The following is a 27,951-nucleotide window of genomic DNA, read 5'->3' on the forward strand; positions in this document are numbered from 1 at the left end:
ATTAAAATATGGTTTTCAAAAGCACGCATAGGCAAATTTCTATGTTCTATTCACCATTCATTCAACAAGTATTGAGTAACTACTGCATAACTGGCATTGTCCTAGGCACAGAGGCTAACAGCAGTGAACAAAATGGCAATGTTCCATCTTGCATGGTCCTTGTTTAGTGGGGAAGCACAAAGAATGTGTGTTTAATATGATATGATGTAATATAGTGCCAGATGGTAGGAAGAGCTATCAAGAAAAAATAATCCAGGGTAAGAGGATAAAGAGTGATGGCAAGTAGTATAGGGTTAGGGTTAGGGTTAGGGAAGGTCTCTCTAAGGAGCCTCTATTTCAGCAGAGACATGAAGTCTGGGAGCAAGCTATGAGAATATTTGGGTGAACAGTATTCTAAACAAAGGAAACAAGTATAAGGACTTGACGCTTAAACGAGTTTGGATTGTTTAAAGTACTGAAAGAAGGTTACTGTGGTTAAAACATTGTGAATGAAATGAAGGGAAAAGTAGTAGAAGATGAGATTGGGAAGAAAACTGGGTGCCAGACCTCATATGTTGTTTTGGGATATGAAAAGAACTTTTAAGTTTTATTTTAGGGTGATGGAGAACCACTGGAAGATTCTGAGGATAGGACTTTGTGCTTTGTGATGTGCTTTATGTTTTAAAAGGGTTACCTGGCAACTGTGTGGAGACAGCCCAGAAATAGAAATAGGGTGAAATAATCCAAGAGTGGAAGCTGAGATACCAGCTTGGAAATTATTGCAGTTATTCAGGTATAAAACAATAGCTTGGACAAGACTGGTAGTGATGTCTCAAGATACCAAGAAGTGGTCATATTTAGGATATAGTTTGAAAATAGAGCTGACATGATTTAATGATAGAAAATGTGGAGAATGAAAAGAATGAAGTCGTTGATGATCCAAAGTTTCTGGCTTAAGCAAATGGGTGAATGGGGTGCCCTTCAGTTAGATGGGTCTTCTTAATAGAGTCCATTTTTATCTATATAAGACAATGCAAGGAACATCTTGCGATATTATGCATTATTTTATCATGTAAAGAAAAATTACGTTACTTACCTGTTGTTCAAGGTCTTCATTGTATTTGTTAACTTTTTGTTCTCTCTCTGTTGCTTCTTTTACAAGCTGTTTAAGGTCAGTAATGCTTTGATTTTTTTTGGCAATATCAGTTTCCAATTCTTTTAACTTGGTTTCATACATTCTAAAAGTATAAGGAAAAAAAGTATAGACATGGCAAATAATTTATGTCACTGATTTAAAAGTCAGTTCAAATAACTGTACTAAAAATAAGCAAGAATATCTTATTTTACTGTTTCTTCTAGTCAAAGTTTTAGCTACATATTTATTTAGCATTAAAAAGTGGTGGCAAGAGATAAGGTATCCCTAATTAACAGATGGCCCAATCAAAATAAAGGATTTGGGTATTTTCCAAGGATGGAGCCTGATTTGACCATTTTAAAATTAATACCTTTTTTCAATCACAAAATAAGAAAATGCAAAGTAAAATTCTTCAGAATATAAAATTCTGTATTACTAGATATTCTTAGAAATATAAAGATGGCAAATAAAAAGCTTTTCTCACATACACAGACACACATAGGAGGTATCTAGGTAGGAAAACACTAAGGGAGAGGAAAAAATTGTGCAAAAGCATGGGTAAGAAAAATAGTGTATGATGGGAGAGGGATAAAGCTTGTAAAAATCTGAATAGATTTATAATCATTAAAGAAATGATTAATAGTTCAAAAAAATACAGACTCCAGAAAAAAAAAATTCATAATTGAACCAAACAGTTCTGCAGGTTCATCATACCTAAAGAAAAATAATGCTTACAATATCCAAACTTTTCCAGAGAAATGAATAGAAAGACTGCATTCTAAGTTAAAATGGCCAGTATAGCTTTGGCAACAAAATCTGCTAGGATAATACAAGAAAGGAAAATTATGATTGTCTAAATATATTCAAACAGCTTTTGATAGATCTTAGAAACTTAGATTAGAAGGGAATGTTTTTAACCTGACAGAGATTATCACAGATCTACCACAAGTAAACAGTGAAATATCAGAAGCTTACTCCTTCACTTCATCTAATTTTCTATTCAAAAGCCACCCAAACAGAGAGGCCTCCTCTGATCACCCTATCTAAAACAGCCCCCACATCACCCTGGTTTGTCCCAGTAGTCAGGAAAAGGCCTGACATAGAATACGTGTTACTAAGTTTGTTGAATAAATAATAAAGCAACTATAAAGATGTCAGCATGAGCAAGACCTGTGTCATGGGTCCCAAAAGAGATCTCTCTAAACTGCTTTATTGAGAAGGGTATATAATCCTCCCAGATTTAAACTTTAGTAACTTTTTTTCTTTTTCTTTCTCTTTTTTAATGGATTTAGGGAACCTAAATTTGAGGTCAAGGATCAAAACGAGCCTTCTCTCTGTCAAGAGATTTCTACTTAGACTTATGTCTTCTGCAATGTCTTCTGCAAATGATTTACTGAAGGCTTATGGTATGCTCAGTGACCTGTATCGTTCTCAGACGAAAAACACGTATATGATCTAAAATGCAAAGTCATCTTCAATTATGGTTAAATATCATCATCACCTCTACTAACCATTTATAAACCTTATAAACTCTTTTTGCACTAACAATTTCTTTTGTAGCCCCAAAGAGCCCTCTTAGAAAGAACTTGAGCCCACAGAAAGGATATAATTTACTTAAGATCATAGTAAGAATTAGGGTCTTTCAAAACCAGGGAAGCCACCTGGTCCTTTGAGGAAATCTAGGCAAGGTGGGCTTTTAAAAAATAATATCCAACATAAAGCAGAGTCTGGCAATAGGAGGTACTAAGTAAATATCTGTTGAATAAATAGATTTCAGAGTAACTCAAAATTCATTCTGAGTCCACATGTGATTATAGAAGAAAACAAAGGAACGACCAAGAAATCAACTGACAGGACTGCTGGCTCAGAGCCACTGCTAGGGTCCAATAAGACAGTAGAAGAGACCCCTTCTCCCACTCCATATCATCACATTTGTTATTTGTTCTCACCTTGACACTGGCTTTCTGACAGAATAATTTTTCCCAGTGTGTAGATGGGAAAAGTGAGAGCTAGAGTGGAGAAGTGTGGATTCTGGGTACTCTAGGTTTAGTATTAGGACAGGAACCAAGGCCTCCTCCAGGACTTCATGTCCATCTGGGCTGTCCTTTAATATGCCTGCTTAATCTTTCTCCTTAGACTTGGTTGACAGAGGCAAGTACAGTGCAGCAGGCCCTCTGTGGGACTTGCTGTAGCCTCACGGTACTAAGACTCCCATCCTAGTTGTAGTGATCACTATCTTGCCTCCCATCAAGACCATTCCAAATAGCAGACATGGAAGATGAAAACCTCAAAGACATCAAAGGGGACATTGGAGGTGCATGGACATAAGGAACTGTATGAGAATGTTGAGATAAAGATGAGTATGCCTTTTGAAATGGGGGCGGCAGATGTGCTAGATGGTAAAGGATACCACTTCATACAGGATGGCTTTAATGGGAAAAGACACAGGCAGGATCCCACTGGTCAATGACTTCCAGACTCCTTGAAGCAGCTGCTTAAAATTGGAAATGAGAATGACACAAAGAGCCTTTTACCTACTCATCACAGTCATGATGAACCACACATGATGATAGTGGCAACAGACTGAATGTTTACTCATAAACTACCACTACCTCTTTCATAGCCACAAAAATTAGTTTCACAGGTTGGAATCCCATGTGTTCGGGGTGGGAGAAAATCAAGTACCAGAAAGCAGAAGCTAGTAAAACATCAAAGCTGGTGCTGAATTCATCTCTTGGGGCTATCTGAAGAGAAAGTTGCCCAGGATATAACTCTAAAAGCATTGCAGCACAGCCTAGATCCAGTATGCCACACATTGTGACAAGACAGCTCAATTATTCCTGGCTCATACTTGAGGAAGCAAATTATACAATCAAGAAGCTGAAGCTGCAGTTGGAGAAAAATAGCACCCAGGAGAAGCTGAGCAGCCTCAGCCCAGGCTCATAGCTGATGACAGCTTCATGACGCACACACAGCTCCAACTCCTTCGCCCAGCCCCAGCTCTACACTGTTCCATGCCCTGCCACCCAAACAAGGTTAAACAAGTTAAACATTTCAAGGAAGAAAAAGTCTCCAACAATACTACAACAGAAAAAAAGTATTATGTTAAAACAACAACCAAACAAACTGTTCATCAGGAAGAAACCAGGTTATCCAGAATAGTGTTGTCTTTTAAAACAATGCCAAAATTTGAAATGATTAAACTTTGTACAAGTTTAAAACTCTGTTCCTACCTTGTAACCACAATGGATTTCCAGCTCTTACTGTCAGCACCTTCAAGCTGTGGACCTCTGCTTTCTGCAAACTGCAATCTCTTACCAGTCTCTTCTAGTTGAACTGTCATCTTCTCATTTAATATCTCTAAATTATTCTTTGCTATCCGTAATTTCTCTGCAGCATCAGTTTCCTATCATTAAATGCTAATTAGTATTTTATGAGAAAACATAATACTGTTCTCATAGATTCAGTGTATTCAAAATTATCATTACAAATTGGAAAACAAAAATAACCTGGGGCTCTAAATGCTGATTAAAATTTCAACAAATTCAACATCTCTCCTTTAAAGCAGCAATATGGCCAATAATAATTAGAACAACAGATCACGAAAATGAGGTCAGAGGAATATATTTAGTTACTAGTGATTACTTTAAATTTGACACTTTGTTCCTCTATATTTTTAGAAAAATGGGATAGTTTATACCTTTACACATGTAAAAGATTCTTTGTTTTGACTTCCTAATGCTTACGAGACCTAGCTATAAGCATAAGGTATGTGTAAGCAACGTAGATCATTTCTTTTTTTTGTTTGTTTGAGATGGAGTCTCGCTCTGTTGCCCAGGCTGGAGTGTAGTGGTGCGATCTCGGCTCACTGCAACCTCTGCCTCCCGGGTTCAAGCGATTCTCCTGCCTCAGCTTCCCGAGTAGCTGGGACTACAGGCGCCCGCCACCACGCCCGGCTAATTTTTTGTATTTTTAGTAGAGACGGGGTTTCACCGTGTTAGCCAGGATGGTCTCGATCTCCTGACCTCGTGATCCACCCGCCTTGGCCTCCCAAAGTGCTGGGATTACAGGCGTGAGCCACCGTGCCCAGCCTAAATGTATTAACTTTTATTATCAATGTTTTTCATGGTGGAATGTGATGACAGCAGGCATAGAAACACAATTCCTCAATCTCTTAATATCTACCTTTACAGACACTCTCATCAAGGATCTACTTCCAGTTTTTCCAAGAGGTATTAAGTAAAATAAAAATCAAAAGTTATAATCAGTCATAAAAGTCATACTTTTTTAAGTTCTTTACGAAGCCTTTCATTTTCAGCAATAATTTTTTCTGTGCCTTTGGTCTTGGATTCATAGTGCATGCTCAACTGATGCCCAAGATGAGCTTTAAGTTTTTCTAATTCAGCCTAGTAAAAAAACAAACAAAATAAAAAGTATACATTATCAAAACAAGGAAATAAAAGATAATCTTATAAACTCATAAATCTTCAAAGTAGTTTTAGAAACCATATTTGATATGATTAGAATTAAAGTCTTCATTTGAATATTAGTGAGAACGAAGTTCCCAACGTTGGCTACATATTAGAATAAATTGATGACTTAAAATAACAACAACATACATATCTGTGTCAGGACCCACCCTAAAATAATTAAATCAATTTCAGGGATGGGAGCTTGGGCATCTGTATTTTCACAAAGAGACACAGAGGCCGCAGTGGGCGGATCACGAGGTCAGGAGATCGAGACAGTCCTGGTTAACATGGTGAAACCCCATCTCTACTAAAAATACGAAAAGTTAGCCAGGCGTGGTGGTGGGCACCTGTAGTCCCAGCTACTGGGGGAGGCTGAGGCAGGAGAATGGCATGAACCCGGGAGGCAGAGCTTGCAGTGAGTCAAGATTGCACCACTGCATTCCAGCCTGGGTGACAAAGCAGTACTCCATCTCAAAAGAAAAAAAAAAGAGAGACACAGGTAATTAATCTATGCTGTCAGAGAGAAAAGTGAAAAGTATTGGTCTTGAAATAACAAGAAAGATCAGGTAGACCTACTCTATAACCCTTAGCCTTGCCTCTCATAAGTTTTTTTCTATATTTATAAAATATGTATTGTATTCATTAAAGCCATTTTATATAGTAATGAGCATATTTGAAATTTTCCTAAATAGTAACAAAACGTAAAATATTCCCCTAAAAATGATCACATTAAAAAAAATTACCTTCAATTTTTCATTTTCCTGCTCAATATTAGCCATTTTTTCACTAGTCAATATTCCTGATGCTTTTTTCAACTGTTCATTTTCTCTCTGGACTTTTTCAACTACTTTTTTCATTAAACCAATGGTTTTTTCCAGTTCTGGGATTGTCTTTCCACTTCTACCAGACTACGAAAGAATATGTTAAATCTTTAATCAAATATTTTAGTAAGTATAATACGAAGTACCAACAATACAACAGGCTTATTATACTCAATAATTCCTAATATTTGAAGTCAAAACTGTATTAATTCAATTCATCCTTAAAACAATTCTATGAGATAGGAATTATAATTTCCATTTTAAATACAAGAAAACCAAGACTTAGGAAATTTGACATTCCTAAAATCATGCAGCTAATAAGTAACAGCTTAAATAGTCTAGCCTTGATGTCTGATCAAAATGATTAAGTCTAAATAGTCTATTTAGCTAATGTTCTCTCCAGTATATCAGAGTTTTTCTTTATATGAAATAAAACCACACAAGAGAAATTGTGTCTTTAAAGAGCTCATGAGTAATTAAATTTTAATTGCAACATAATAGAGGCAATTTTCTCTAAGAAATGCTATTGCTTAGAAATACAGTTTCTGTTTAATATAAATAGAAGAGTTATCTGAAATAAAAAACCTTGCATAAATATATCAGCAGAGATGAGTCATCACTTAATAAGTTTAACTGCTTATCATTTAAAATAAAAATAATTTTTAACAGTTTAGCCAAACAGTATGCTTAATTTCTTTTTGCATTTTAGTTAATCATCCATGAATAAGAATAATCCTGAAATATAAACTTTTACATCATTTTAGTATGCACTTTCATAATTAACTTAGATAGAAAAGGTCAAATTAACACATATTTTCATTGATGAAACAAATGTTGCTGCCAGCAAGATACTGTTCTGAATATTTTTCCTTTTTTTTTTTTGTTTTAAAAGATGGAGTCTCGCTCTGTCGCCCAGGCTGGAGTACAGTTGTGTGACCATGGCTCACTGTAACCTCCGCCTGCCAGGTTCAAGCAATTCTCCTGCCTCAACCTCCTGAGTAGCTAGGATTACAGGCATGAGCCACCATGCCCAGCTAATTTTCATATTTTTAGTAGAGATGGGGTTTCACCATGTCGGCCAGGCTGGTCTTGAACTCCTGACTTCCAGTGATCTGCCCGCCTCGGCCTCCCAAATTGCTGGGATTACAGGTGTGAGCCACTGCCCCCGGCCTGTTCTGAATATTTTTCTAATAACACATAATATTTTCACTGAATCCATCATATATTTAATATTACTACCAGAATGACTCTGCATTATGATTGCTTCCATTTATGACACTCAGCAACATGAAATCAACAGGAGCTTAAGTCTTTGGCCTTGACCTCATAAGCAACATTTATTCATTATATAAAATGAATACAAAATAACATAGGGAGAAAATTACAAGAACACAAAAAAAGAGGGGGAGGAACAATGTAATTATAAAACATTATACCAAGCTGGGAAGATATCATAACAAATGGTTACAAAATGGCAGCATTGGACCAAGGACCAGTTAGCAGTTACCTCCATAAACAAAAGGATTCCTGGAAGTTAAATGTTTTCAAGGTATGGAGGCATATTCAATAAAAAGAGAGATGAAAGTATGTAAGGTATAACAGATGATAAAATACTTTGAGACACATAGAAATGCTTACTGTTTTATATTACAGATGCAGAATAAACACTGAAACTACAGGGCACTTGTAGAGGCATATCAGTACTTTTACAACATATCTAAACTTTTCATTTCTGGCTTATCACTGCTGAAACCAAAACAAATGTATGGTAAATTCTCACATACCCCTCTAACATGGCCAAGTTTCCGCTGAACTTCTGCTTTTTCTTTCTTAAGAAATTCACACATTTCCTTCAAATCTCTGACTTGATTCTGAAAGATAACAAGCAAACATGTAATAATTTAACATAGCTACAGCCATTGAAAAGAAAAGGCAAACAATTCATAAGAACCATCAATCTCTTCAACTGTATTGCCAAACCAAATAATAGGGTCTCTATATTAACAAGGAAGATTTTGAACTAAGACGTTAAATTAATACAAGAATATTGTGTATATGAAATGTCAAGGTATTTCCCACATTATTGCCTGATGCAATAATACAAATTTAGAATTCTGATTTTAACTGTCCCATATATTGCACATATAGATCCTTACCCAAATATACACAGCAAAAGGCAAATGAACGTCTAACATTGGTTCTATCAATGTAAAAACCAGAATAAGAAGCAGTACCAAAAAAAAAAAAAAGGAAAAAAAGTGCGAAAAAATGGCAGATTAGTGCCCTGAGTAAATAAATAAATAAAGTGTGAGAAGCAAGACATAGCTTAACTATATCATTACCAGTGGAATTAACAGATTGCTAACATTCTAGATTAGAAAACAAAACTGAAGCAATTAGCTAGCCAAAAGAAAAAAAAGATTCCCATAAATAGGGTAAGACTTGGAAAACCAAAGATTAAAAAATCATTATTAATATCAGAATAAAGTAAAATTTCTAAAAGAAACAAATTATTCTTATATTTTACAGTGTGATAATTTTTAATGAAATATACCACGCATCCTCCCACCTTAGGACATCTGAACTTGCTATTTCTGTTGTCTGTAATTATTTTTCTAGTATCTGTATGACTCACTTCCTTTACCCCTCCTTAGCTCTCTGTTCATATATCATCTTATTAAGGAAGACCTCCCTTACTACTCTATTTTCAGTTACACCCCTTCTCTCTCCCCATACTCTTTACACCAATCATGCTTTATTTCTCTCCTTAGCACTAACATCAGATGACATACTATTTAGTGACTTGTTTATTGTCAGTCTTCTCCACTAGAACGTAAGTCCTATGAGTATAAGGAATTTTTTGACTGCTGTTTCCCAGCATCTGGAGGAGTGTTTAATATAAAGTAGGCCTTCAACAAATAAATGCTAAAGAGCAAATGTATAAAGTATACCATCACCATGATATATTAGGAATATGCATTTTTGACTTCTTAATAAGCTAATAAAAGTAAACATAACAACTAAGGAAGGAGTTTTAGGCATTAGATTTCCTAATAAAAAACATTAAATTCACCTTTAATCTTGGCAAATCTTTATTTGCTTGTTCAAGCTGAAATTTCAGTTCAATATTTTCAGATGACAACTTCAAGTTTTCCTTCTGAAGCTCCTGTTCTCTCTGACAATGATCATCTGACTCTATTCCTGAAATCTTCAGGGAAATGAAATTAGGAATATTTTTAAAGTTTAATAAATAAAAGCCATAAAAGACATACTGGATAAGAAAATACTGTCAAAAGGTAACTTTTTTTCCTCAAAGGAATATGAGAAAATCGGAGTGTTCTGGTGAAAGCCAAAAATAAATAAGTTAGAATACAAAACTTGCAGAACAAAGGTAGTATGGTTTGTTTTAATTACAATGGAAGCAAAGCAAGTATGACTTAATAATGTCCATACATATAATGCCTTCATGTATAATTTCATAATGGTTAAACTGATCTATGGTGGTTTTACTAGTCCAAAATAAAGCACGATTGTTATCTAACCGTTATGGGTTGAACTGTGTTCCCCTTACCCTCCACATTTATATATTAAAGTCATAATTTCCAGTACCTCAGAATGTGACTTTATTTGGAGACTGGGTCTTTACAGAGGTATTCAAGTTAAAATGAGATTTCAGGGTAAACCCTATTCGACTGTGACTGGTATCCTTATGAAAAGAGAAAATTTGGGGATTTAGACACAGAGACATGTACAGAAGGAAGATGATAAAAAGAAACAGGGAAAACATGGACATTTATAAGCCAAGGAGAGAGGATTGGGAAAGATCTTTCCCTCTGATTGTGCAGAGGAAATCAACCCTGCTGATGTCTTGATTTTGGACTTCTAGGTCTCCAGAACTAAGACCATAAATTTCTATTGTTTAAGCCACCAAATCTGTAGTAGTCTGTTACAGCCACCTTAGCAAATGAATACACTAGGCTACAAAAGAACTGCCATAATTCTTTACTCCTTCGGAAAGCCCTCCTTCATTCTTTGAGCTAAAGTAATGGTTCCCTCTTTGAAAACCATTAATATTATATTTTCATTTCTTTTGACCTGAATCTACATTGGGTCATTATTTATGTTGTTACTTCTCATTCTAAACTTTATTTTTTTTAACTGTGCTTAATTATATTTTTCTATGCATTTTTTCTATAAATTAGAATACCACCTACCTCATAGGACTGTTATAAGCATCATAGGAAATAATTTTTTTTAATTATTCAGCACAACTTTCATTTTTTTCTCCTTTCTCTCTCTATTGGCTTGATGGGCTGTAAAGTCAGTTACTCCACCGACATTATGGGTCTTAAAATATATTATTATAAAATACCTATTATACACAACTTTATAACATCTTTTAGATCCAATGACTGCATGTGTCCATCTGATTTTTGTTTGAGGAGATGTGTGTGCACATGCACATATGTCGTAGCAAAAAAAAGAAGACAAACATTTTTGTTGATATATGTAAATCACAGGAATACATTTCCACTTAATAAGAAAGCCCAAGTATACATTCAAATCTACCACTATTAGGTTAATACTAGGCAAATTCTACCACTACAGTTTATAAGTGAAGGCATTAGACAGGATAACTTTTAAGGTTATTTCAGATATGGACATCTGTGATTTCCTGTCCCTGAGCTCTTCTATCTCCCAAACTTCCTGTCTTCTGTTGTACCTATTTGATTCAGCAAATGATAAACACCTATTAATATCACTGATTGGTAGATATAAAATATATTAAATATTAGAGTAGAGGGTAATTCTATCTAAGGAAGATCTCACATGAGGATATTTTTAACACATTTCTCACTAAAATATGATGCAGTTACTATTAGTGATTATGGCTCATTTTTTCCCTTGCATTTTGAAATAATAAAACTAAAGGTATTCGTTGAGATAGTCCAAATTTCTGAAAAACAAATTCTAATGTAATGCTCTCTTGTAAACAGAATTCTTGTATAACGAACTTCACGAGACTTCCAAACTCTTACAGAAGAATAATCCGGTTAAAAGCCATCAACTACTTAAAATCAAATTCTTAGTGGATAGGAGTTAGAGATAATGCCTAGTGGAAGTCTCAAACTCTTATTTATTAGCATGTGAAAAAAAGTGTTATGAATTAAATCACTTTCAGCCATTTTCTCTTAACATAGATATTTAATTTTAGTTGATGTTTCCATGACTTAGGTGACTGGAATATCTCAGGTGGACAGTATAAAGAAAAAAACGATAAATGCTATGAACAAACTTTTATTCTGTATCTCAATGTAAGCTAGCCAAAAGTAGTACGTACATAAAAAGTCCATAAACTGTAGAGTTAGACTGATATTCTGCAAAGTGCTTTTTGTTTGTTTGTTTTTGTTTGAGACAGTCTTGCTCTGTTGCCCAGTCTGGAGTGCAGTGGCACAATCTTAGCTCACTATAACCTCAAACTCCTGGGCTCAAGTGATCTGCCCACCTCTGCCTCCCGAGTAGCTAGGACTACAGGTGTGCACAATCACACCCAGCTAATTGTTTCTTTTTTTTTTTTTTTCTGGTAGAGATGGGGTCTCTCAAGGCTGGTCTTTGACTCCTGGCCTCAAATGCTCCTGCTGCCTTGGCCTCCCAAAGTGCTGGGATTGCAGGCATGAGCCACTTTACCCAGCCTATGTGAAAAATATACTTAGGCACAGAGCCTAACACCATTTATCATTATCATTATTATTATTTTAGAGACAGGTCTCACTCTGTTGCCCAGTCTGGAGTGCAATAGGGCAATGTAACATCAAACTCCTGGGCTCAAATGATCCTCCCACCACAGCCTCCCTAATAGCTAGGACTACAAATGTGTTCCACCACATCTGTCTAAATTTTTTGTAGAGACAGGGTCTGGCTATGCTGCCCAAGCTGATCTCAAACTCTTGGCCTCAAGCAATCTTCCTGCCCCTGCCTCCCAAAGTGATTAAATGAGTAAGCCACAGCATCCTGCCTGAGCCTAACACAATATAGACAGCAACACATCCAAGTTTCCTTTTCTCATTATAACAAAATTATCTGTTATAAAACATGGCAAAAAAAGCCACTGAAGGAACTTAGTATACATCTTAGGACACTGCACAACACTGTAACAAAATTTTACTGATATAATTCGCTGTAGTGAGATCTTACTTCTAAATACAGCTGGATGGATTAGAAGTTTGTAAGGCAAAACAATCAACTCTAAAGTACCTTATTTTTGCTATTCATTTATCTAATATAACATTAAGTGAACACCAATTGTAAAAAAAAAAAAAGCACTAAATTAGAAAATGCATATTCACTAATTTTTGTAGGAACTAATCAAAAGTTAGAGCTTAAGATAAAGTTTACTAATAGTTAATGCTTTTTCTAAATCTTACACACTTTCCCATTTGCACTATATATGTACGTAAGCTACTTACTATAAGAAAATTCAGTTAACAAAGAAATAAAGGACGGCCACGTAGCCAAACCAGGGACGCGTCCTTTCTTGGCTGGACTGACGCATCAGTTACATCGCCTGCCTGTGCATCACCCTCAGCTCACTAAGCCACGGCATCAGCAACTGTCACATAATCACAGTCCTCCATAGCAGATTCTACGGATCTATGTAGTTGTTGTGACTCACATTTTCAGCTATGTGTCTCTTTCCTTTCTCACTCTTGCCTATCTTATTCTCTTCCTCATTTTTATCTTTATCATTTTGACAACATTCTTGATTAATTTTACCAACCTTAGGATCATGGTTCATTTTCAAAAAGGGAGTTAAAATCTGCCAACTTACCATTTGTTGACGTAAATTGACTTTATTTATTGTTTGGTCTTGACTCTGATTTATTTAACTCAATAGGATCTAAAATGTGTTCTAATTTGTATTTTTCATCATTACTGTAATACCATAGAATATTTCTAGGTACCCAATTATGTAAGTCATCTTTGGCACCTAGTCTTTTACCATTTTTAATTCTGACTGTTGCCATGATCTTTTTTGGTTCTGAACAAAGTGTTTCTTTTGTGAAAAATATCATGCCCTTGTATTTATTAATAATGGTAACAAGGATAGAAAACATAGTTGTGTCACACACCTGATTCTGCTTAAGGTGGAAGAATGAAGAAACATGGAAAGAAAAAAGAAACAAAAATAATACACTAAATATTTAAAAAATCCAACAAATAATTTTACATTAATGATTAATGAGTTTTTATAAGCTAAAAATATAGCATAAATATTTGAATGAAAACAGTCTTGGAACATGTTTTCCTATTTTATTTAACTGTATACTGCTGCTACAGCAAAATACATAATGATAACTACATATTTAAAATTTCTAGAAATCATTTATGAGCTTTATGAAAAGCTTAAGAATCTTAAGTTTACTGTTATTATGTTAAAAAGGATTAAATAAATTATTACACATCACTACCTGTTAAAAATAAAAGTTGAATTTACTGTATTACTATTAATGAGAAAGATGTAATGCTTTTGGCCAGATTAAGAAAGAAGTTGATTTCACTTTCATGCATTTTAACATGGAAAAAAGAAAAAAATAATAAAAGATATACACTTACTGAAGGCTTAGAATATGTATCCTTTGAAAACTGTTTTTCTAAAGCATGAAGTTTTTCTTGGAGGTATCTATTTTGTAAATGTAAATCTTCTACAACAGAATCTCGAGGAAGAGCTTGGTGGGCCCTATGAACAACAATCACAGACTCTTTACTATTCACATTTCATCTTTTTTCTGTTGTACTATATAAAAATACAAGATAAAAAAAGAAAAGTTCAGTGTGTTTATTAACACTATATTTTAAATTCTTCAAACCTTCTAAACTTTATAACAAATAAATTAGGATATCAAAATTAGTATTATAAAATAATCCTCTACAGAGCATTCACTGAAGGCCTCCTTTAAATGATGAGTCAAAAAGTATATTTTGATTTACTGAAATACATTAACATTTTTAAAGAACATGCATCCATTTATATGGAATTACATAAGACAGTTAAACTAAAATACTTACTATTTTAAAACATTATATAATAACTGCATAATATCCATGGTCTTCTCAAGAAGCTCAAGGATCTAAAAAGACTCTTAATGATTTCAGATAATAATTTAACACTTCAAGTCTAAAAACATCCACTTGACCTACAAGACCCTCCATGGTTTGCCACCTCCACATCTATCCAACCTTATTGTCCAGGGTCTACCTTTACTTAGGTAAATACAAATCCACTCTTACCCATACATGAAACATTTACTCTTGCCTCTTATCTCTGCTAGGGTTCTCCTCTTTGATATGCCCCTCCTCTTTAATATCTAGATGATTCATAAAATTTAGAAATTCAAACTAGAGTTCAGAGAGAAGACAAATTCAATCTTTTCTATAAAGTATTCCAATTACTTCAGCCCGCATGAACTCACATTATTAGAGAAAAAAAAAATGGCCTCTAAAAGTAATAGCAGGTTTCAAAACTAAAAGTTGATCCTTGTAAAACCTGCAAAGAAGAATAAAAGTGTTTTGTTTTGAACATATGTTTAGACAAAGAAAAACATGGAGGGGAAATATCCACTGCTGGAACAAGAGAGTAACTATAAACAGATGTCAAGAGAAAGAAAAATTCCTCAATAATTTGTGTTTTCCCTATCAAGGAAACTTCTAAAAGATTTTTAAGAAATGGTAACTTAGAAGGAAAAGGAAGGAATGTGGATTAGAAGCTCATGAGAGTGTTCGTTTAAATAAGTTCAACTTCGTATGTTCACATCACATTCATAATGACACAATAGTAAACAGACATTAACACAGACTAATGAATGGTAATTTTTGAAGATAAATAGAAAATGTGTATTTACAAAGGGTAAATACTGTCATATCCAAATGTTGCAGGTAGATATTAGCCCTTTACAAAGATCAGTAATATGATCACAGATCATTTGTAAATGCAAAGAAGAAGAAATAGCAAATCACGTAAAACCAACTGAAGTTTACCTTGGAAGAAATGAGCGAAACAGAAGATTAAATAGTTTTAGCTGTTGTCAGAATAAAATTAAAAAGTTTTAAATGTTAACACATGATTTTATTTTGCTTTTCACGACCATGACTGTATCAGAAGATATAACTTGGAAAGAGATTGTAAAGCACACACACACAAAAATCTCAAAGGCTCTGCTAAGAAATGACATGGGGTGATGCAGGGCAAGGGCATCTGGTTCCAGGTACAATGGAGTAAATACATTCAATCTTCTCTCTCCTAAATGCATGGAGCAACCATTTGAGGACTTTGCAAAGGAGTAGAAGGCAGATTACAATAGAATACCAGGACTTAAAGTAGCAGCAAACAGGTGATGAATTTACCTTTTCTTTTATTCTGTTACTGCCTGCCCTGAAGACAACATTATTTGAAACCTGAAGATGGGTGTCTGCACTGACAGAGAGAGCTCCAGGTAAACCTTCTAATTCTAGCTCGAGTAAAGAGAAAGGGAATCTTTTAACACTCAAGAGACAATATGAAAACACCTCACTTTTTTTTTCTTCTATCTGTTCTTTCATGCCCCAACCCTTAAGCCATCCCATAGCAGTGGTAATAGAGGCTGCAATGGGAACTCACAGAAGCTAATATTTTTTGGGAGGGAAATCTCCAATTGGTAGAGCTATGATACTAAGAGGGTAAGGTAAAAGTCGTTTTTTTCTTCCTCTTTCTACTCTCCTCTTGCTTGCTTGGCTGCAGAAGTGTGCAATTCCTGAAGTACATGGCATCACTGGGTAACTAAAGCCCCAAATGGAAATCCCTAGGGAAACAAAGTATCAGAGAGATGGCAAAGAGGGAGGAGCTCAAGAAAGGGACCCTATAAAGTTGTTTATGAACTTCTGGGCTCACTCTTGAGCTGCAAATGTATGGATCGATCCTAATCAGAATACCAAAGTTTCTAAGAACTGAACTAATGGTACATAGCTCACATACCAGATCACCTATTGTGAGGTACACAGGCAGGACAGATCTGAAGAGTATTGAAAAGGCTTTGAAAAATGGAACCACAGCCCAAGAAATGAGGTTGGAACTTGTGGCCTGAACCTAATTAGACCGATTGCATGCTAAAACAAAAGTATCTACATTTTCCCATAGAATTTAAACAAGAACCAGAGTCTCACAATATAATATTCAAAAGATCAAAAATACACCAAAATTATGTGGCATATGAAGAACCAGGAATATCTCAATTCACATGGGAAAAGAAAACATAACCCAAGCTTAAGACAACACACATTTATTATTTCAATTTCTAGGGGTCAACCAGTTTTTCATTACAATGGGTGGCACATTTCCACATAATAGCTTACCTCATATACAATATATCATTTTCTAAGTCAAGATTTCTCTTTTTTAATTCTTCCAATTCTTTTTCTGACTCCAAAGCTCGTATTCCCAAAACCTGATCAACAGTCATGCCAGTTGTTTTTAGTTTCCTCTGCAAAGTAAGTTTCTCTTTATCGGCTCTGTGGAATTTAATATAGAATCATGAAATATACCATTCAGTGTTTGGCTTTTCAATTGCATACTCATTACCAAACCAAATTACAATAATTGTAACACCCTATATTTGTCATAAGCTAATTTACAACGAGATCACAGGAAAATCCATCTATAATTGTTACAATATATTTAAAACAGATTTTAAAGAAAATAAAAAGTAAGTAAATCATAGATAATAAATGATCATTTAAACTAGACCATTTCTCATATTATCAACTATGATAAAGCTATATAATTTCCAGGTCACTAAAGGATTTTACACATAATTAGTTTTATAATGATATTTAAACTCACTTGGCAAAAAGATCCTTCAAAGTATTCAACTGCTTTGTTAAAGTAAAGACTTCCCCCTCTTTCTCTTTTAACTTGTTTCGAATTCCTTCTATTTTGGCTTGCCACTTTTTACCTTCTTCCCACCTAATTAATTCTTCTTTAGCATTCTGTAACAATAACGAAGGAGGTAGGAAAATTACCAGTGTTATTTTAAATTTTCTTTATGATTTATCAATTATAATTTGCCTAGAAAAATTGTAAACTAATATTTCCTAGAGAATATGTAAATATGTTCATTTTGCTATACAGGTTGAGTATCCCTTACGAAACGCTTGGAACCAGCCGTGTTTTAGAATTTGGATTTTTTTAAAAAATATTTTTGGAATATTTGCATATACATAATGAGATATCTTAGGGATGGGTCCCAAGTCCAAACACAAAATTCACTTATGTTTCACATACACCTTCTACACATAGCTTGGAGGTAGTATTATACAATATTTTTTAATAATTTTGTACATGAAACAAAGTTTTGACTGTGTTTTGACTGTGACTCATCATATGAGGTCACATCAGAATTTTCCACTTGTGGCATCATATTGGTGCTCAAAAAATTTTGTATCTTGGAGCATTTCAGATTTTTGGATTAGATGTTCAACCTGTATAACTCCTAGAATCTTTGGGCATGCCGAGCTATTAGGAAAACTGCTCTTTAGGCTAACTATGCTTTATTCTATCACAAGACAAATAAAATTCTGGGAGACAGTTCTGACTAATGCCAACACCCTTCAGGAGCCTTTAAATGAAGATTCTAATACAATCATGACTAGAGTAAGCTTCTAACAAGAATCCTCTGTACAAACGACCAACCTCATCTATTATCCCATGACAATTTCCTAGCATCAGAGCCCCTTCAAGTCTTCAATGCACATTACTTCACTCATTTGACAGGTACTTATTTAGTGCTAACCATGTGCCAAGTACTACTCTAGAGGCAATAGGAATAGAACAAATGAATAAAATCAGATAAAAAAGTGTATCTTCATGAATCTTACTATCTAGTTTATACTAGTTGGTTAGATAGATTGGGGAGAAGGGAGCAAACGATACAGATAACAAAACAAGAAATAAATCTAAATCTATTTTGTAGTAAGTTAGCTAGTTTTAAGTGCTAAAAAGAAAAAAGAAAAAGAAACGGAAGGGAATTAGGGCATTTCAGGGGTAGGTGTCATGGTTTATTATAACTATGATAAAGGAGCCAAAGAAAGCCTATCCAATGCAGAATAGTCTCATGCACTGAACAACTTTCAAATGTTCTACTGGATATTAATACAGTAAAAAATTCTGCTTACACTGGTCTGAGCTAAGAATTTATCTCCAACTAACATATTCACACTAAGTAATTTTTTAATGGTTTTACTATACACTAAGTTTTCTAGGAATACAACAGTCTTATAAAAGGTAAGATTATAGACATTGTTTTGCTGAGAACTGCACCAACAATTTGTTTACCATTTTGGAAATCAAATTACAAATGGCAATACCATCATGACCCATCAGTTGCCAATAGAACACATTTGTGTCAGTCTGCAATCGTAGCTTTGAACTCACATTAATGAAGGTGCAAGCACATGACTAGTTCATTATATTTTCCAATGGAGTCATGCCAAAGCATTTACATGTTGAAATATGAATATTCCTTTTATGTTCCCCCTATATATTTCATTTAGGACATTCATAATGACATTTTTGAAATTATGTAAGTAGGTAGAGTTTATGTTAACTATGCATTTCAATTATAATAGTAAAGGGGAAATTATGAAACATTATATTTTTTATTAAAGGGAATGTTGAATCTGAAAGGGTTGAGAACCATGGTTTAAAGTCAAATTCCTGGGGAGATGGCTCATGCTTATAATCTCAGCACTTTGGGAGGCCGAGGCAGGAAGATTGTTTGAGCCCAGAGTTCAAAGACCAGCCAGGGCAACATAGTAAGACGTCATCTCAAAAAATTAAAAAAATATGAAATAAAGCCAAATTCTCACTAAGATTAGTTGTCCTATCAAAACGACTTTCTCGAATACTAGAGAACTATATTCTCCAATTCTTGTCTCTAATACTAGTCAATTTTTTACCTTATTTAATTCAGCTAATAAGTGCCCTTTAAAAAATGTAAAAACTTCAGTCTGGGTGTGGTGGCTCATACCTGTAATCCAGCACTTTGGGGGGCCAAGGCGGGCAGATCACCTGAGGTCAGGAGTTTGAGACTAGCCTGGCCAACATGGTGAAACCCCATCTTTACTAAAAATTCAAAAATTAGCCAGTCGTGGTGCCAGGCACCTGTAATCCCAGCTACTTGGGAGGTTGATGCAGGAGAATCACTTGAACCCAGGAGGCGGAGGTTGCAGTGAGCTGAGATTGCGCCATTGCACTCCAGCCTGGGTGACAAGAATAAAACTCCATCTCAAAAAAAAAAGTAAAAACTTCACTAAGTGGTTGATAGTTATTAATTTCATTTTTTCTGAAATATGTACAAGAATTTTTCTGTACTCCCAGAAATGTAAATACTAGTGGGGGACATAAGGTATGTCATTAAATAATCCTGCAGCACACAGTACTTTGTTGGGTTTGGGCAATTTTATCCCACCTGGCATTACTTGCTAAATTAAGATTAAGGGAACCAAGACTGAAAGAACAATTGAAAAACAGAAAAACAACAAACGTGAATGGTACCATGGGTATTGTGGTGTTATTACATATAGGCTTTTTTCCATGGTTCCTGGCTTATAACTCTCATAGCCCTTGTCCTCATCTTTAGTTATAATATTGAGTGTGTTAGGCCTTCCGAGCACACCTCAGAAAAGAGTCTCTCTGACCTTCTCCCATCCTCCTTTCACCTGCCCTAAGGCAGGACTGTAATCTTCCCCTGCCTTTCTGACTGTGGGTCTTAAAACCCTAATACGAGGGGGTCCTGCCCCATACCCTAGGAGAAGAAATACTGATGTCATGAAGCTTCCCTAAAAACCAAGAGGACTGGGTTCAGAGAGGTTCTGGAGAACTGAACATGTGGAGGTTTCTAGAGGAAGGTGGCACCCCAGAAAGGCATGGAAGGTCCACACCCCTTCCCCCATATCTCTTCTTACACATCTCTTAACCTGTATCCTTTGTAATAACCTTTATTATAAACTGGTAAATGTAAGTAAATGTTTCCCTGAGTTCTGTGAGCCACTCCAGGAAATTAATCAAACCCAAAGCTGGGGGCTGGGGATGTGGGAACTTCGGAAGTCACGGAGGCCTGGACTTGTGATTTGATCGAAGTAAGATATCTGTGGGATCTGACACTATCTCCAGGTAGATGATGAATTGAATTGGACGACACCCAGTTGGTGTCTGCTACAAAACCAACTGCTTGCTTGCTGATGTGGAGAAATCCCCACATATTCTGGGGGTCACAGAAGTCTTTTGCATTGATTGTTGTTATGGTTTGAGGGCAAGATAAACATATGGTTTGAGAACTTTTTCCAAAACAGGTTATGTTCTAGACTGAATGAGAAGAGGGAAGAAGACTGGATGATAAGGCAGTAGTTCTCTTTTCATGTTTTCTGTACCAAAAGCTTCGTATGCATAGATTTCAGAATAATATTATTATAACATTTAAAAATTTATATTCATTCAACAAATACTGAGCATCTACTATGTGCCAGCGATTGTTCTAGGTGCTGGGAATACAATAATAAATAAAATAGGCAAAGTTCCTGCCATCAAAGTTTATGGTCTAATAAAAAAAGAAAAAAAAAAGATGAACAAAAGACAAGTACATGTCTAGTATGTTAAGATAGTAATAAATGCTAAGGAGAATGAAATGCAAGGCACAGGGGTGGGTTTTGTTACATAGGTAGACTACAAATTCTGTTTACAGAGAAAAGGGTACTAAAATTTCCAAACAATATGAAAGCATTTCTTGAGTATAAATTAGAAATGCCCAAGCAATGAACCTGAAAAAATATTCTCACTAGATTCCTGAATGCCAATTTTAATACTGGGCATAGACCCCTGTTTTCTCTTTCTAGTTAGTAGTAATATCTTATACTGCTATGGATGTGATGGCTTACAAAAGACTTCCGCATATCATATCATTTTATGTAAAATAATCCTGAGAAACTGGCAATACAGATAGTATTATTCCCACTTTAAGGAGGAATAAACTGAATAAATAAACTAAATAAACTGTAGCATAGAAGAGTCCAGGCAAAGCCACAAGGCTCTTAAAACATTCTGATAGGAATCAGGTTAGAAACTGGTATAGAAACACACCAGTTAGGAACAAACATACCAGTTTCTAACCTATCCCCATTTAGGGATAAGATCAGGCCTATCCCCAATTAGGGAGTTAGAAAGATGGAAATCCAAAAGATTAAGGACACTTTGATCTTACAGTTTTCACCAGCAAAGCTTCTGACAGCAAGCATGTTGTGACTCCACGCAAATAGTGTCAATAAATTACACTGACATTAATGAATTTTCATAGAAAATAATTTTGGGAGCATACTCTATTAAGAAATTTGAATTCCATTACCTATTTTCTATTCAATGCCTTTAAAGACAGAATTTTCTTTTCCATTTTCATGTGATTGAAATTATTTTATAGACATTAAATATTTTCTGGGTAAATTTTATAATAAAAATTTTCCTAACCATAGCTCCTCCATACTGATTTTCTTCAATGGCAAATATTACTGCTAACATCAACATTTCCCAGTTCACTTTCGATATTTTGAATGTTACCAACAAGTTATCTCCAATTTATTGTCCATAACAAATTTAATTACACGCATTTTAGCCAATTTTAGTTTTTTTTGGGGTTATTTCAATCAGTAATTTTTATTACAAAACAGTTTACTATGAACTATAAAATTTTAAGCAATTTCTCCCACAGAATTAATCTATGAGCAGATTGGTTACTGATTATTACTGCAAATACTGAAGATATTCCAAATAACTTTGCTATCTGAAATAACAGCCTAGTCTCCTGAAGGATTAAAAAGGACCTATTTGGGTCAAAGTGGGGTATCTTAAAATGTCTATCTTTCTGTCCCAAAAGTCAAAAGCACCAACCTGTGTAAATGATTACTTTGGAGAGAAATGATACACAGTTGAATATGTTAAGGTGTGAAGGAACTTCAGAGGTACTCTAATGTCAGAAAGATGAATGAAATTGATGTAGTAATTTCCAAATAAGAGTTACATTATAGGTATCTCCTCAAGTAGACTCTAAATTCCTACAGAACAGAAACTTAGACTTTTCTACGTTATTCAATACTGCTTATAGTCCTCAAAATTAATACAGAATTAATACAGCCAGGTCATCAAATTAAGGCAGTATATTAACTGTTAATCAGCTATGTATTTAACTTACTCTGTCACTACCTTAAGCATATAAGTCAGTATGTTTCTTCACATACCTTTTCTTTCATAGGTTTTAGGTCTACTTCCTCCACCTTTCCCTCTAATTGGTTCTCTAGTTTTTTAACTTTCCTTTGGAGTTCTTCAATTAGACTTTGTTTATTATCTGTCAGGGGTTTGCCCTAAAAAATAAAATGTAACTTTATATTTTTACAAATAAATGTAAAACAAAATAGACAGTAAATATTTCAATTATATAATAGCAACTTTCTGAAGCTATCACTGACCATACTTTCTAAATGACACTTAATACATAAGATAATCTGGTAGCTGCTTCTGCATTTTAATACAACATACTAATATGCTACTCTAGAACTATAAACACAATAGAAGTCACAAAAGAAATTAATTACATTAATCAAAGTGATTTGAAAGTCAGTTTTAACAAATACCATAGATAAAATGATAAAGTAGAAATAAACTACTACCTCTATATTGTAAATCAGACATTATCAGAGTTAAATATAAAATTACCTGTAATCCACTGGTTAGTCTTTTAATTTGCCTTTTCAGTTCATCATTCTCTTGATCAATTTCCTCTTTCTCTCTAAGTATTTTATTATAGGCTTTTTGTTTCTTTTGCAGTTCATTATTTAAGTCATTCAAATTATCAGTTAGTGAGTTTTCTCTGTTTTTACTTGTTTTAAGTGCTTCTTTCAATTTTAAAAGATTTTCATTTAAATCTTCAACTTGTGTCTAATAAGAGAAAAAGAAAGGTATTATTCATGACTCTTCAAGAAGTATCAATGATAAAAGGAACATAAAACAGAAAATATACCATTATAAGAAAAATTCAGTCTGAATTTTTAAGTACACAAGAGAAAAAAAATAACCACAAACTACATATATTTTTCCATATTCATGTCAAGTCTACCTTGAGGAAAAAAGTCGACTTTGAGAAAAAAAAAAAAAACTAGTGTAAAGCAATTCATCTTCAACAAACACCCACAAACAAAATTTTATCAAATATGCACGTTTCATTTTGGCTGAATTAATTAAACAAACAAGTATATAACAATATATATGACAACGTTTTAAACACTATGAAGCATAAGAGTAGTACAGAACAAATCTCTGACTTGAAGTAATTTCTAACCTAGTTTACAAAGATAAGATATAAAAGGGTAACTTACAATACTAGACAATATGTATGCCACTAGAAAGGAGTTCCTAGCTGTCCTATGGTGAGAATGATGGGGACACACTGTATGTTTCCATCTATAACATATTCTGGAAAAGGTGAAACTATGGAGACAGTAAAAAGATCACTGGTTGCCAGGGGTTTGGTGAGGTGCAGAGGAAGGAATGAAGAAGAGAGGCACAGAAGATTTTTAGGGCAGTGAAAATACCCTGTATAATACTATAATGATGGATACATATCATTATACATTTGTCTAAACACACAGAGTGTAAAATACCAAGAGCTAAAATAGAGGTAAACTTGGACTTTGGGTGATTATGATGTATCAATATAGGTTCATCAATTTTAACAAATGTACCACTTTCAGGGTAGGAGATATACAGGAAATCTCTGTACCTTCCTCTCAATTTTGCTGTGAACCTAAAATTGCTCTAAAAAAATAATAAAGTCTTAAAAAAAATCCTAAGTAAAATATTTCTTAAATTTAATTTCATTAGAAACAGTAGTTCATAATGGCCTATCCTTTCCTAATCCCCAAGATGATAATCAGTAAATGAGTATCATAAAGAGACTTATTGTTGAAAAATGCATGTGTGTGTCTATGTCTAGCCACCAACAGTGCATTATAAATTCCCTATTCATCAACAAAATTACTATATATCATAGTGAATTCTCTTCCAATAGGAATTATCAGAAATTTTGTTACATTAACACGTGTTGATGTTCACCTTTAGCTCTCTAGTATGTCGATCAACGATTTGTTGAACATTGAGATGGGCCTCTTTTTGAGAAGTTGCAGAAATAATACGTTCTTCAGCAGCTGCTGTCATTTCTGCCCGGAGTTCTAAAAGTGCCCGACTAAGTGCCTAAAAATTAACCAAAAAAAAAATGTAATTTTTAAAGGAAAACTGACATTTTATATGAATATATGATATAAAAAATAAACAAGCTTTATTACTTCCTACTATTTTTCTAAAATATTATGAGTTTAATGGAACATATTTCACAAATTAACAACTCAACTTTTTCAAATAAATCTTTTGTAATTACACTCAATTCTTTCCACATTGAATGTGAAAGTTCAAAATCTTAATAATGATTTTGAGAACTCAGCATTAAATCAAGCTATTACAAAAAACAGGTATGTTTTGTTTTCAAACATCCAATTTTAGATATTTATATTACTCACTTACTACATCCTTCCATATGAAATTAATTGAATTTAGGTAGACAACAAAAGGACTAGGAAAGGCTTAAAGTTTACCCATAAATTTCATAGCTAGCACAGAAAAACACCAGCATCTTCTAAAACAATTTAAATAGATCAAATCTGAGATAAACTAAAAAAAACCCTAATAAATCAGAATACACTGACCAACTCCTTCTCACAAAAACATCTCTATGACCCCCTTTTTTCATCCCTTTTTGTCATTATCATACTTCCCTCAATCCCTCAAATTGTTCAAAATTGTTCATTTGTTAAAAATAGCCTCAGTAGCATAAAATTCCAGTAGAAAAAAAGAAAATACAATGTAATATATATTATATTTTTGTAATGTACATTAAGATTTTTCCTAACTTCATATAGATAATTCACAAATCAGATTGACGAAAACATAAAAAGATAAATTGGACTATATCTGCCCACAAAAACAGCATTGTCTAAAATACCTTGTTTAACAGCATAAGATAAAGCTCATACTTTTTATTACAACACGGAGATTTATACTACCATCTTTTATAAATTTACAAATCTTCTCTAAAAGCAATCTACCACATATTTTTCCTAAATGTTGATAATTTTCTGTTGTTACTTACTTTCTGTTGTTTCTCCTTCAAGGCTAATTGGCTCTTTAGCCGTTCTACTAGATTTCTCATTGTAGTTGTTGGAGCTCTTGAATTTGCTTCTTTTTGAGCCTGAAGTTCAGATTTTAAACACTGTGACTCCTTTTGTGACTGGTCCAGAAGATACTTTAAATCCTCTACTTCCGCTTTTACTTTTTTCACTTCATCTTCATGGTTTTCTTGAAGCCTGATGTAAATAAACATATGTGTGTGTGTGTTTTTTAATTTTTAATTTTTTTGAGACCCAGTCTCACTCTGTCACCCAGGCTGGAGTGCAGCAGCGCAATCTCGGCTGACTGCAACCTCTGCCTCCCAGATTCAAGTGATTTTTTTGCCTCAACTTCCTGAGTAGCTGGGACTACGGGCGTGCACCATCAGGCCCAGCTAATTTTTGTATTTTTAGTAGAGATGGGGTTTCACCATGTTGGCCAGGCCAGTTTGAACGCATGACCTCAGGTGATAAGCCCGCTTTGGCATCCCAAATTGCTGGGATTACAGGTGTGAGCCACCACACCTGGCCAAACATATGTAATTAATAGAGTGGTTGCTGCAATTCATACCTTGATTAATACAAATTTCATATAGAGCAAATGTTCAGTCCTAAGTATCCTTACAATCTAAATCTTGATGCAGGCATCCAAATCCAAAGAAGAATAATTCTTTATTTCATTTAACTACTCTTAGACTTAACAACACATTTTTCTTCTAGTTTCTAATATTTTTGGCAACAATCTTATCAAGTTATTTTGTGACTCTAGTCAAATATACAGAGAATGAACAAAAAGGCATTTTAAATATTATGGCTCTTGTAAAATGTGATTGCTTCCTCTATATGATAGTTTCCTAACCATACTACTAGTAACATTTTTGACTGGATAATTCTTTGTTGGTGGTGGGGCTGCCTTGTGCATGATAGGATGTTTAGCAGCATCTTTTGATTCTACCCACTGGATACCAGTAGCACCCCCGAGCCATGACAATCAAAAATGTCTCCAGACATCGCCAAATGTCCCCAAGAGGGACAATGGTGAAAAACTGATCCTCTATATTTGAGAAATACTGCCCTATATTGACATATTGAAAAGACTAATATAAATTTTCACAGAAATCACATGTATTATTAATTTGTTTATGGTTCAAATTCACTAGCATTATATCTATAACTATATATATGGAAGTGGATACTATCAAAAGATTTAGTTAATTCAATTAATCTTATTGCTTATTCAGCATTAAGTCTGTTAAACTGAATTAATATATTGTTGTGCATATGGACACTGCATCCATACTGAGATTCTGACCAATAAGAGGGAGATAGTGTTAAGACATGAACAAATGTTACTCTTTGAGGCTTCTTGCTTTTGGCAAAACTTAAGTCTAACTTTAAAGAGTCATCATCAAATTGTGAAAATATCAGGATTTACTTAAGAAATCACACAGATCCATAATCTCCTAATACATATCAAAATATGCACACAGAGAACACAAGTATAATTTTGGACTAAAATGACGTAAGGTACACAACAATAACTTCAAGTATTTCCTGTGGCAAAAAAATGTATTATATAAGGTATTTCAAAAGATTATGATTTTCTACACCCACAAATTAGATGCAAAAGCACAAGTAATTTTATACTCCAAAACATGACAGAAATTTACTAGACCAAAAATAACATCTCTTGTACAAAATTTAATAGAGTGAGGAAAAGAGACTGAAAATACACATATGCTGTTGCCAATTTTCTTTCTTTTAGAGAGTAATTTCTTAACAGTGGCAGCTCCTTAGCAAAGCAAAAATAGTGTTAATTCTGTCAGAGGCATTTGAATAAGTGAGTAAAGAATCAAAGACTCTAGCAGGGGCTTGAGAGCTGAAATGGAATTATAAGTCAAGCAGTTCAATTTTCTCATGTTTTTTCAGATAATAAAATTTAGGCCCATAGAGATAATATTATAATGATTAGAAACTACCTAACTATAAACCTATTTTGAGTTTAAAATCTACGTTCTGATAAAGTGGTTGAACAATGTTTAGAATCTCTATTATATGACAGACACTCTTATAAGTGTGTAATCAAAAGTTTTCTATCTGTATGTTATTTTACAGTTTTCAAATTACTTTCATACACGGTATAATTTGACCTTCATATAACCACCCTGAAAGGGCCAGGGTAAGTATTATTATTTCCATTTTAAAGATGATGAGGCTGGGTGCAATGGCTCAGGCCTGTAATCCCAGCACTTTG

The 27,951-nt window shown here is 34.2% G+C and overlaps 1 protein-coding gene, 1 long non-coding RNA gene and 1 pseudogene across 24 annotated transcripts in view, besides 2 other annotated features; 1 reads left to right on the top strand and 2 right to left on the bottom strand.

Annotated features, from left to right (window-relative positions):
• On the top strand, nucleotides 1-27,876 carry LOC124902977 (uncharacterized). 2 transcript variants are annotated; one of them, XR_007063393.1, is made up of 3 exons: nucleotides 1-772; nucleotides 2,407-2,520; nucleotides 27,813-27,876. It is a non-coding gene; the product is annotated as an uncharacterized LOC124902977 (long non-coding RNA). The 2 variants fall into 2 exon arrangements; XR_007063392.1 differs by lacking the exon at nucleotides 27,813-27,876 and having other exon boundaries at nucleotides 2,407-4,335.
• Nucleotides 1-27,951, bottom strand: part of CEP290 (centrosomal protein 290) — a 93,073-nt gene that overhangs the window by 5,485 nt on the left and 59,637 nt on the right. For 9 of the 22 annotated variants that reach the window (XM_017019983.3, XM_011538763.4, XM_011538762.4 and 6 more), the window contains 14 exons: nucleotides 25,682-25,895; nucleotides 24,592-24,729; nucleotides 23,197-23,418; nucleotides 22,722-22,844; nucleotides 17,281-17,426; nucleotides 16,794-16,949; nucleotides 14,022-14,145; nucleotides 13,538-13,546; nucleotides 9,481-9,615; nucleotides 8,192-8,278; nucleotides 6,330-6,494; nucleotides 5,398-5,520; nucleotides 4,348-4,520; nucleotides 1,076-1,217 (listed from right to left, as the gene is read on the bottom strand). In XM_017019983.3, coding sequence (XP_016875472.1) covers nucleotides 1,076-1,217; nucleotides 4,348-4,520; nucleotides 5,398-5,520; nucleotides 6,330-6,494; nucleotides 8,192-8,278; nucleotides 9,481-9,615; nucleotides 13,538-13,546; nucleotides 14,022-14,145; nucleotides 16,794-16,949; nucleotides 17,281-17,426; nucleotides 22,722-22,844; nucleotides 23,197-23,418; nucleotides 24,592-24,729; nucleotides 25,682-25,895 — 1,957 coding nt within the window. Of the gene's footprint in view, nucleotides 1-1,075; nucleotides 1,218-4,347; nucleotides 4,521-5,397; nucleotides 5,521-6,329; nucleotides 6,495-8,191; nucleotides 8,279-9,480; nucleotides 9,616-9,642; nucleotides 10,114-13,537; nucleotides 13,547-14,021; nucleotides 14,146-16,793; nucleotides 16,950-17,280; nucleotides 17,427-22,721; nucleotides 22,845-23,196; nucleotides 23,419-24,591; nucleotides 24,730-25,681; nucleotides 25,896-27,951 lie in introns of those variants that run through there. The other 13 variants (NM_025114.4, XM_047429561.1, XM_011538759.3 and 10 more) reach the window with 8 other exon arrangements.
• On the bottom strand, nucleotides 3,300-4,076 carry LOC100420011 (transmembrane protein 38A pseudogene; annotated as a pseudogene).
• Nucleotides 8,139-8,339: a silencer, noted in NCBI's record as "peak1864 fragment used in MPRA reporter construct". NCBI's record gives its function as "represses an SCP1 promoter by STARR-seq MPRAs in K562 erythroleukemia cells {active_cell/tissue: K562}" and the evidence as "EXISTENCE:reporter gene assay evidence [ECO:0000049][PMID:32103011]".
• Nucleotides 9,128-9,187: an enhancer, noted in NCBI's record as "active region_6699". NCBI's record gives its function as "activates an Ori minimal core promoter by ATAC-STARR-seq in GM12878 lymphoblastoid cells {active_cell/tissue: GM12878}" and the evidence as "EXISTENCE:reporter gene assay evidence [ECO:0000049][PMID:35858748]".

Source organism: Homo sapiens, chromosome 12 (genome assembly GCF_000001405.40).
Source record: "Homo sapiens chromosome 12, GRCh38.p14 Primary Assembly".
In the NCBI taxonomy this organism is placed as follows: Eukaryota; Metazoa; Chordata; class Mammalia; order Primates; family Hominidae; genus Homo; species Homo sapiens.